General features: G+C 39.4%; 1 annotated feature.

Annotated features, from left to right (window-relative positions):
* Nucleotides 11,495-11,544: a silencer, noted in NCBI's record as "silent region_14835". NCBI's record gives its function as "represses an Ori minimal core promoter by ATAC-STARR-seq in GM12878 lymphoblastoid cells {active_cell/tissue: GM12878}" and the evidence as "EXISTENCE:reporter gene assay evidence [ECO:0000049][PMID:35858748]".

The following is a 12,205-nucleotide window of genomic DNA, read 5'->3' on the forward strand; positions in this document are numbered from 1 at the left end:
TTGGGGGAGATACATCCAGACCATAGCACCAGGCAATGAGGTTTGAACCCCTTGCCTTTACTTTCCTATCCTCATTCCCAGCCTCAGATAAAAATCAGAATATTTTTTCAGAATCATTTTGAAAGAGCTGTTTTAAGCCTTGGCTTCTCTCCCCAAAAATTATTAATGGGGCCGGGTGTGGTGGCTCATGCCTGTAATCCCAGAACTTTGGGAGGCTGAGGCAGGTAGATCTCTTGAGGTCAGGAGTTTGAGACCAGCCTGGCCAACATGTTGAAACCCCGTCTCTACTAAAAATACAAAAATTAGCCAGGCATGATGGTGGGCGCCTGTAATCCCAGCTACTCGGGAGGTTGAGGCAGGAAGATCATTTGAACCCAGGAGGCAGAGGTTGCAGTGAGCTGAGATCACACTACTGTACTCCAGCCTGGGCAACAAAGTGAGACTCTGTCTCAAAAAAAAAAAAAAAAAAAGTATTAATGACTCTCTATTTCCTATAGAATGAAGACCAAATTCCTTAGCTTGGAACTCGAGTTTGACTACAATCTACTTTTTAAGCCATAGAATTCATAGAACAGGCGTAAGACTCAAATGCCAAGTCCTACCCCAGGTAGACTTCAGAGGGGCTGGGAAGATAATAGAAGTGAAAAATATGGGTCCTATATAAACAGTAAGGAGTAGTATGGACTGTGGCAAATGGGAGAACATGTGGCCTATTTAAAAGCGAGAGCTGGGTGTTGCTATGAAGAAATTTGGGCTGAAGGTTGCCAGATGTTCTATTTATTCAACAGAGGTTATAAATCTGAATTTTTAGGCAAAATTTCCTGAGTTTTTAAATGTTGGCTCAAAACAAAAAGTAAAGTGCAGTGCAAATAAATCATATCTGCAGGCTGGATTCAGCCTCAAAGACGCCTGTCTGGAATTCTGCCCTCTATAGCAACCAAATTGGTTTATTCACTGTCTATCAAACACTCCTTACAAGTTTTTTTTTCACTGTTCCTGATCAACCTGGCAGGCATTCTCTGTTGGTCTTCACTTGGAAGTCCTGGCTCCTTCTAGTCCCTTTACTTCCTCCATGAAGCTTCCTCGGGCAACTCTCACCCTGAGTAATCTTTTACCTCTGCTGTCATAGTACTCATAGCCCCCGGCCAACACAGAGAGTGAAATAACTAAACCAAGTGTCAGAGGAACTGGGTCACACTGCTCCCTGCTAACCAGTTAGGTGAACTTGGCAGGACCAGCATCTTTCAGAGAATCAATTTTCTCATCTACAAGTTGGAGCCAATAATTTTTGTCCTACCCCAGGTAGACTTCAGATGAAATAACACAATTATAAACTGTAGAACATAATATAAATTAATAATCATAAACCTAAGTAGTGCCTTTTATATGGCCTGAGAAGCATGTTCCACTTCCCTGATCCATTCAAATTTCTACTCTCCTAGATAACTATTTCATACCCTTCTTTCTCTCTTCGAAACTTCATCCCTAGGCTAGGCTGATAACCTTGTTTCCTATTTCCCTGAGAAAATGAAAACAATCAGAAGAGAATTTCTACAAGTTCCCACCAACACATCTACCACCCACCAGCATATGCATCCAAACTCTGCTCTCTTTCATTACTGTGGATGAATCTAGCAAAGATCTAAGTGTGCACTCGATCGTATTGCTTCTCACCTACTGAAGGGCACTTCTTCAACAATTCTCCTTTGTTCGGCATCATCAGTTTTTTTCCTTTCTACTAGATCTTTCTCATCAGCTTAGATCTTTCTCATTGGCCTATAAAACTTAGAGTAAACAAAAAAAACCTCTGTCTTGATTCTACTGCTTCCTTACTGTATCTCCTTGATTTTATACCGAAACTCAAGAGTTGTCTGTGATTGCTGCCTCCAATTCCTCTCTTCCCATTTCCTCTTCCCCACTCCCCCTGTCTTTTTCCTTCTGTGTAAAGCCTACCCTAATCAGGCTTTTGCTCCCATCCCTCCACCCATATTGCTTTTGTCAAAATCTCCAGGCCCCTTTACACTGCTAAATCCAGTGGCAGCTCTTAGTCTTCATCTTATTTGGCTCTTGAACAGCATTAACAGAGTTGATCATTAGGCTTCCAGAATACCACACTTACCCACTTTGTCTCCTACCATGCTTCTGACTGCCTCTGTTGTCTTTGCTGATGCTTTCTCATCTCTACAACAACTAAATGTTGAAGTGTCCCAGGTCTCAGTCCTTCAACATCTTATCATTTCTTTTGCATTAACTCTCTTGGTGATCTCATCTAATCTCGTGGCTTTTAATGCCATCTCAATACTGCCAATGCTGATGATTCCCAAATTTATAGAAGTCTAACCTTTCACTACACCCCTAACCTAGAAATCATACTGCCTATTCATTTGATGCTAATAATGATCTCAAACTTAGCACGGCCAAACCTGAGCTCTAGCTTCCCTTCATACCCCAAATCTCTCCTCCCAAAGTATTTTCTTCTCTGGCAGAGCCCATTCCTTCATCTATTAAATATTTATTGAGAACCTATTCTGTGCTAGAGCCTGGTACAGATGCTTACAGGCTTACTGACGGTCCGGGGGTAGAAACAGCAAAATTCATGTAGGGTTGGCATCACTCATGACGCCTCAGTTTTTCATGCTCTCAGCTTTACTTTCAAAACATATCCAGAGTTTGGCCACTTATCATCACTTCTACTGCTGTGATTCTGGTCCAAGCTGCCTTATCTCTCACCTGGCTTACAGCATTACACTCCTAATTGCTCTCCCTATTTTTTTACTCTTGCTCTTCTATGGTCCATTCTCATGCCAGCAGCCAGAGTGATCTTCAAAATGTAAGTCAGAGCATTGTCACTTTGCTGCTCAAAATCCCCTGATGGCTACTTATCTCACCCCACACAAAGTCAAAGTCACTGCAATGGCCAACAAAGTCTTTCCCACATCTTGTAATTTCTGATTGCCCCTCTGATCTCATTCCCTACAGCCCTCTCTCTTACTTACTGTGCTCCAATCATTCTGTCCTGTTTTTTGTTTGTTGCTTTGATTCTTTCTCTTTCTTTTCTTTTCTTTCTTTCTTTGTTTCTTTCTTTCTCTTTCTTTCTTTTTTCTGTCTTTCTTTTTTTCTTCTCTTTCTTTCCTTTCTTTCTTTGGAAAGGTGAAAGAATAAATGAAAGAACTGGATAAATGAAAGAATGTCTACATGCCACTAAAAATAAAAACACTGTGAAGGGCTTTCCCTCCCTCCCTCCCTCCCTTCCTTCTTTTCTTCCTTCCTTCTTTCCTTTTTTCCCTCCTTCCTTTTTTTCTTTTTCTTTCTTCTTCCTGGAACCTTTTTGGCATGACCCTGTCTCAGACCTTTGGACTTGCTATTCCTTCTTCCCACAAGGCTCTTCCCCCAGATATCACCATGGCTCACTCCCTCAACTCCATCACATCTTTACTTAAGTGGTACCTTCTTAGCAAGGCTTTCCCAGGTCCCCCTATTAAAACACTAATTTCCCTTTCTCCCTCATGCACAGTTCCTTACATTCCATATTTTCTTTTTATCTGTTGTTAGATGGTATCAAATCTATTGCATTTGTCAACATCTAACATGCTATATATTCAGTTAACTTGGTTTTATCTGTCTCCCACCCTAGAATGTAAGCTGTACGTGAGCAGGAATTTGTCTGTTCATTTGTTTGTTTGTTTTCATTGATCCGTAGCACTGAAACAGCACCTAGCATATAGTAGGCATTCAATAAATGTTTTGGGGAATGAATAAATGAATTTGGCAAATTGATCTTGTCATCTCTTTGTATTTTTTGTTGTATTTCATATACATTTTATTAGCCTTTCCTGTGAATATTTTAACACCTTTTACCAAATTATAAAATCATGAATTTACATATTTTTGTTCCATAACCCAAATAGTACTTCCTACTGCACACAGAAGGTTCCTTTAAAATGAGAACAGTTTCAATAGTTCTATTCTTCCCTAGACTTCAACTCATGCACTATTTCTTTCTTTTTTTGTTTGTTTGTTTGTTTGTTTGAGATGGAGTCTCACTCTGTTGCCCAGGCTGGAGTAGAGTGGCATGATCTCGGGTCACTGCAACCTCCGCCTCCTGAGTTTAAGCGATTCTCCTGCCTCAGCCTCCCCAGTAGCTGGGACTACAGGCAACTGCCATCACACCCAGCTAATTTTTGTATTTTTGTACAGGTGAGGGTTTCACCATGTTAGCCAGGCTGGTCTCCAACTCCTGACCTCAGGTGATCCGCCCACCTTGGCCTCCCAAAGTGCTGGGATTACAGATGTGAGCCACCATACCTGGCCCCTCATGCACTATTTCTAAGGTCCAGTGGCTTGTCTTCTATTTTGCACTCAGCCATGGGTAGCCCCAGGTCTACTCAGTACTGGGAACAGGCAAGGGGATTTCCCATTTGGGTGGAATGGGCAGATCTGTTCACCAAGACAAAGTTGCAGTCAGAGACAATCCAGGCAAACAAAAAATTGTAGAAATGCAGCCTTGTTAATTTACATTTGCAAATTATGGCTTACAAATTCTCACACTCCTGCTTGTCTTCATGATGGCCTTGTGGAAAATAAAAAAACTAAACTTCCTAGATTGAATTATTGCCATGATGGATGTTAAAGGCCTCCCTCAGAAGGATTTTAGCCATTCTGGCTAATGACCATCCTCCACTTGCTTGATCCAGGGACAGCAGTGCCCACCTCACCCACCTGCCTTGAGGATATCTCTCTGAGGCATTAGAGAACAGGGAAGTGCATGGAATTAGCTCAGTACTGATTCTATTACATTACATTTCTATTATATTTAGACTCTTACTCATGGGTCCTGACAACCAATTGCTTTGTAATATATATTCTGTCTTCAGTATTACATTATAAGCTTCCTGGGGTTTTAATTAATTTATTTTTAACTTATCTCTTGTTGTAGTCATCCTTTTCTACTCCCCTCAACCCCTACCTCCTGGGGTTTTGTGTAATATCTTGCACATCGTAGATACTCTCTGTTGGATAAATGAAAGAATGTCTAGATGGTACTAAAAATAAAACAACTGTGAAGGGCTTTCTCAACCTGGGTAGGCCAGTATTCCCTCTGAACTATCTTTAGGATTAACTTGCTTGATTTTGCTTAGGCAGAACTCACCTTCTACTTCCAAAGTGTGATGGAACCAGGAGCAGTTGCTCATATCTGTAATCCAAGCACTTTGAGAGGCCAAGGTGAGAGGCTCACCTGAGGTCAGGAGTTCAAGAAGAGCCTGGCCAACATGGCAAAACCCCATCTCTACTAAACATATAAAAAAATTAGCCCAGCATGGTGGAGTGTGCCTGTAGTCATCCCAGCTACTCGGGAGGCTGAGGCAGGAGAATCACTTGAACCCAAGAGGCGGAGGTTGCAGTGAGCTGAGATGGTGCCACTGCACTCCAGCCTGGGAGACAAAGCGAGACTACATCTTAAAAAATAAATAAATAAATACATAAATAAATAACAAAGTGTGATGGGATGCTGGTCCGTGGGGGGTTGTAAGAATTTTGTGGCAAGGTAAGTGCAGAAACAGAAAGTAAGCATTTAATAACTTATATAGCAACATGACATTGTCCTTAAACCCAAGCACATGATAATGTTTATAATAATTCATTTTTATTATATTTTACAGCAGCAATTGGTCATGATAAATTAAAAACAATTAAAAAAAAAACCCTAGTTGTTCCCTATGGGTAGCAAGAAACACTGTTTTAATGAGTTTGCTTTCAGTACTTTATCAAGGTGCTCTATAATATGTGAACGCTGGGTTTCCCAAATTTTTGAACATGCTTTTGCCACGTTGCACAACATCATAACTATTTCTTTCTTTAAATAGAACTTTTATGTCTGACTTCAGTTTATTTTTTAAAATACATGATCACAACATAAAGGGAAGACCAATATCAATGGCCATGAACAGAAGTTAATTACAAAAATAAATGCAACAAAAACAAAGCAAACAAATTAAATTCTAGCCAGAAACCTGCCAAAAAGCTCTGAACATATGGCCTGTTAAAACAGTAATAATAGTAACAAGCAAGTGTTGGAAAGGTGTTCAAATCCATCAGCTCCAAACTGAAACAACCTCCTTGTTGTAATCAGAAGGAAAGAGAATTAGAGGGTCTCACTGTGTAATTCAAGGGCACTTCCTGCCCTGTCATTGTACATCCCAGAGCACTAGCCGCAGTGACCCAGTTTATGAAAGCACTGACAGTGTTTCAAAGCCTGGCATAGGATGCGTGAGACATGTTTGTTTTAGTAAATAGGTGGCATTCCCAGAGGCTACAAGACATTATTCTTTAAAGAGTCTGTGTTTCAGATGTTTGTTTATCAGGGTTTTTTTTTGTTTTTTGCAACATAGAGCACACTTTCTCCAGAAACAATGATATAAATAGGACCACAGAAGCAAGAATGCAGATGGATTACTTCACATTTGCAATGAAAAAGAGTAGCAAAGAAGGCTGTTGCAAATGTGTGGTGAGGCATTTCAAACTCACAGGCTTCCTCTGCCCTAGTGGCTGCTGGTTCTAAGCTTCTGGCAGGCAGTCCTTTCGGGAGAATGGACAGAGGGCCAGGGACAGTCTTTGGCAGACCACAGGGCTTCTGAAGTCCCTAGGAGGGAAAGTGTCAGCCCTCCAACCACTCCCTGGACTTAGCAGTTGTCACAGGAATGGCTCTTATTTGAAGCTGGGAGGCTTAGTGGTTATGGCCAGAGCAAGGAAGGTGAGCGCATACCGTGAGGAGCATCCCTCCTGCCAACCTAGAGCTTCAGGGAGTCATGGTACAATCCTACTGTCCTTCCTGACGAGAGCTAGCACAGCGAGGCTGAGTGTGGGGAGGGAGCACATCTGGAAATATCTCCAATTTATTCAGGGCAGGGGTCCCTCTCACCTCCCTGCACCTTCTTCTCAGTACTGCCTCTGCCTGGAAGCCGGCTGGAGGCATCTCCTTTACCTAGTATTTCACTCTTTCTCCAGAAGCTCAGCAAGTAGAGCTGACAGTACCCCAGGGGACTCCTACAATTTCCTCAGTCTCCAGGGAGATGCCTCCTGAATGAAACGATCTAAGAAAAGAAACATACACAAATACACACTCCTTCCTGTTCTCTCTCAAGCACCAGAATATTTTCTGCACTGGGCTCCCACACTCAACAGCCTCATTATTCTCTCTGAGATTTTCCTCTCCTTCCTCATTCCCCTGCCTCTGCTACCACTCCCACCTTCCACGCAAACACATGCGTGCCTGCACTTACACACACACTCATGCGGTTTCCGCACAGCTATCTCTGAGGGTAGGGGCAGCCACTAAACAGAGAGGAGGAACTAGATCATCTATCTTGAAAATTTGCCTCAAGCTCAGTAGGTGAACACTAAGAAAGCTGTTCTCGGAGGTACTGGAGGGCACATAACTCTTTTCCCATTCCCCTGTTGAGTGTGGGAGCCCAGAGCAGAAAATAGTTTCCTCCCCTCAACCCATCCCCCTCCATCAGTGAGCCTATAACTCATTTCAAGCCTGCTGTTGAAACCTAACTTTCCTCAGCCAGAACAGCCACAAGAAGTTATGGTTTATTTTCCCCCTCCTCCCTTGCTCTGCTCTGCCATCCCCCCAGTATAGAAGACTATGTCTGGCTTTTCTATTTTTGCTGTTGATGAGATAGATACAGTGCTAAGGGTAAGACAGTGTGTTCAAAATAGTGAGGATACATAGGATGAATTTGTTTTAAACAATATTTTAGTTATATTTCCAAATAATATGCTGAATATTTTTTTCTTCAACCTCCAGACCGCCTTTCAGGTGAAGCATCTCTAAAAATAATGCAATGGGTCCAATTGTTGATCTGAAAAAAGTACAATAAAAACACTACAAGAGCATCCAGAAGTCTGGAAACACAGGTGAAATTGTGCACTTCTTGTTTCAGATTTACAGCTAAATCCACTGCCTTAAATGTAGAGATTCATCACCTGAAACATGGTTGAAAACAAAAATATATTGAGTATTTTTTAAATGTGAATACCATAATTTTAAAATGCCATTTTCTCCTATGCTTTGTCCTGTAATTTAAAAAATTTAACAAGTGGACACTATGATTGGTGTACATTCCTGCCTACAATCTTCCAAGTTAATTGGATTAATGTAAGAGCTACTTATCTACACATAAACCATCCTATGAAAAAGGCTGACCATTTCAAATTAGGAGTGAGCTTCTAATATTTATCAGAAAATACCAAAACTGAGCTTGATTTGGAGCTTTGCATTATAGTGAAATCCTGAAGCCTCCAATAAGAGTAGGAAAGGGTCACAGTATCCTATTTCTCTTTTACTCTGAAAATAAAATTCTAATTACATAAATATTCTGTCTGTATTACACAATAAATCTAAATAACTGAAAGAAAACTTTTGCCTACAATCTTGTCACCTCAGCAAATCCAACTTTTTGTTTGGCCCTGATCTTTTCTAGCCATTGTGGATAATCACAGTGGGTGCCTTCTGCCATTTTCAATTAATACAATTTCAGAAGCATGTTCCATGTTGCTGTGTAGTCCTTGTAATCTACATTTTAATAGCTACATCATCTTTTACATTATTTTCCTGTTGTCCAACATACATTTCATAATCTTTTCTATAAGAAATAATGCAGCGAATCTTTGTCTATTTGGCTTTTTTTCCCTTACGAATTACTTGTTCAGAATCTATTCTAAGAGGTAGGATCAAAGGTCAAAACCCTGGATATGAGGAGGTTTTTATTTCTTCTAGTGACTAAGGAACTCTGAAGGTTCCACCCACAGCCTCCCACCTTTTACATTTGAGATAGACATTTCTCCATCAGAAATGTATCCAGCCACTGCAGCAGCCCCACTGGAATGCTGGGACAAGCTCATGGTTCATTTTCGGGAAAGTAGAGGCTTAAACAGTATGATTTAACCCATACAAGCTTGTTATATGTTACACATAGTTCCTACAAGAAGTATCAACAACACTTTAAGATTATAATAATTTCACTGAAAAAACAACTCATAATCAAGTGGTGACATTGAAAGAGTTGTGTGCCCCTTTAATAAACACAAAATAGTCCTCATTTTTGTTTTAATTTGCATTTCTTTTACCACTAGTGAGGATGAAATCCTTTCCATGTATTTGTTTACTGGTTAGTTCCTCTTGGAAGAGGCATCTCTTTCCTCAGCTCATTTTGTATGAGCATTTTATAGAACACAGATTTTAAGCTTTTTCGTTAACGCTAGTGATATTTTCCAGTTTCTTTTCCCACTTTAATGTAATTTTAAAGTTATATTAATGAGCTATATTCACCTTCCGTTCTCACAGAATTGCTTCAGAAAACTTTGGATACTGGTTTTTATTCAAAGGGCAGATACAAATCACTAATATGCATGTTTCCAAAGGCAACAATAGAAAAGTATCAAGTGTTTGCATTTTTATAACATGCCAGGTATAAAGAATAGAAATGTTTTTTGTCAATGCTAAATTTATAAGTTTAACTCACTTTTTTGCACAGTATAAAAAGAACAATCAATTAAAATAGACTAGGACTCTGGGGAACCTCGAGGTAGGTCATGGGGTTAGAGACTTTGGAATGTGGAGAGACAGGAGCTGGGCTTTCTTGGGATGGCATAAGATAAAGGCATGTGATGCAGGATGGATATATGCAGGTGGACTGGCAAGCAATAAGATAAAAGAACATTTTCCTTTCTCTCATCTTTCCCATTTACTTTTCCTTACCCCTTTCTTATCACTGCATCTGATTTCCTTAAGAAGTAGTTTGCAATTATTTTTAATATCTTGCTTCCTTTCCTTTCTTTCTGCTCATTCCTTCCCAGCTCCTTTCTTTTCCTTTTCTCATTTGATGGCAGTATAATACAATTACAGTAGGGTCAGACAATCTGGGACCACGCCTTACCATTTCATATTGTTTGACTTTTGCCAGGTTACTCTCTGAGCCTTAGTTTATTCATCTCTAAAATAAAACAATAATAGTACCTATTTCTAGAAGGCTGTTATGAAGACAAAAGGAGAAAATATTTGAGTGCTTAGTACAGTATAGTAGACTACTTTATTGTTCACAAATATTTGGTGTTTCTCCCTGGGGGAGCATTAGACTTCCCAACCCCACTGATGTCAGCCTAGGCCATGAGATTTGATTTAACCAATGAAATATGAGTGAATGTGACACATGACATTTTGAGGAAGAAGACTGAAGAGCCAATACACCATTTGTCATGTTTCTCTTTTCCCTCTACCATAATGACCTGCAATGTTCCAGACAGCTATTGCTCCATTCCTCAAAGTCACATAGTAAAGAAAATATAGACTAAAATCAGAGCCAGCATACAATAAAGATCTAAAATAGCAAAAAAGAAACCTTTGTTATTACAAGTTATAAGTCACTGAGCTTTGGGGATTGCTTGTTATCACAGCAAACCTAGGCAATACTGACTAATGAACACAATATATGGCATATTGAAAGTGCTTAACATTCATTGCTAATATTATTCATGATTATTCTCTTTTCTCCTTTTATCCTCCTACCATAAATCCTAACTCTGCCTCATGGGGTGAAGTAAAAATTGAGGAAAGAAGTAGATCAGAAGCTTTGAAGAGTTTTTTTCCAGGTGATGGTAGGACCAGCCACTGGGAAGGAGTCATATTCAGCAGACATAGGAAAGAAAAAAGAGTTCCTGAAGATTCCATTATTTATCTGTAACTAATATATGAAAGTTTGACTGGGTTTTTCTGAACATTCACATAATGCAAATACATAACATGGAATGCATTTCTGCTTTACATCTATTATCCCTGGAGAAAGAAGATGAATGAATGCATACTAAGTTATGAAATGGGTCATAATTAATGTGAGATATATGTAAATGTATTATTTATGAATGAATAAATAAGCACTACTTGCTGAAATCCTAAAAGCTGGCAAGAATCACTAGAATCCTTAGGAATATTAGCTCTGGCTTAATTCAAACAGAATAATCAACCCTTGATGTCAGGGGTACTAGTTAAACTATTTTTCAGAGTTCCTGAAACTCTTGAAATCTAAATATTTCCAGTATTTTTCAATGGATTTTCTCCTTTTAAAATTCACCTTAGTTTATGTAAGCTATAATTTGTGAATATTGTAGTACTTTGGCCTCTTTTCAAACGTTACTGACTTCTGTTTCTAATCATGATGGAGTAACTGGGTCTAGACATACCTTCCCGCTCTAAGCAAAATGTATGAACAATTGTTTGTAGTCATTGAACAACAACAGGTAATTCAGTGCTCTGAACCCTGAGAAAAATGAGATGAGCTCTGCAATAGTACTAGCTTTCTGCCTAGGATACTTTTCATATGGTGGTGTGGCATGGCCAAGCAGAGTGTGGCAGTCTTGCCAAGTTGAAAGATTAGAAATTCAGAAGGTGGGAACAGCTGGGATTGGAATAGCAGAGTTGCAGGAGGGGGAATTCTACTAACAAAAGAGAGAGAGAGAGCTTCAGAAAATTGCGTAGGGGTAGGGTTGCCCTTGAGATCGTTGCTGAATAAGTCATCATGAAGACATAGGGGGAAATTCCAAAGAAGCTTCATAACGAAATGACTGGGGAGTTGTAAACCAAACAATTCACAGTGTTCTCAAAGGCCTGGAAGTCATTTGACTTCTTTCCAGCTAGAGAAGTGTGTCCTTAATGACACCTAATAACACAGCTTCCAAATACATGAAGTGAAAACTAATAGAACTGTGAGGAAAAATAGACAAATCCACAATTATAGTCAGAGGTTTCAATACTTCCCTCTTGATAATCAATAGAACAAGTAGACAAGAAATCAGTAAGGACAGAAGACTTGAACAACACTACCAACCAACTTGATGTAATTGACATTTGTAGTCTACTCTACCCAACAACAGCAGAATACACATTCTTTTCAAATACACATAGAATAATCATTGAGATAGACCATATTCTAGGCCATTAAACAAGTGTCAATAAATTGAAATCATTCAGAGTATAATATCTGACCACAGGGGAATTTAATTAGGAATCAAAAATAGATACCTGAAAAATTCCTAATTATTGGAAATTACACTACACAATTCTAAATAATTTATGCAGCAGAGAAAAAAATACAAGGGAAATTAGGAAACATCTTGAAAATAATAAAAATGAAAATATGACATATCA

This window comes from Homo sapiens, chromosome 3, assembly GCF_000001405.40.
Source record: "Homo sapiens chromosome 3, GRCh38.p14 Primary Assembly".
NCBI classification, from domain to species: Eukaryota; Metazoa; Chordata; class Mammalia; order Primates; family Hominidae; genus Homo; species Homo sapiens.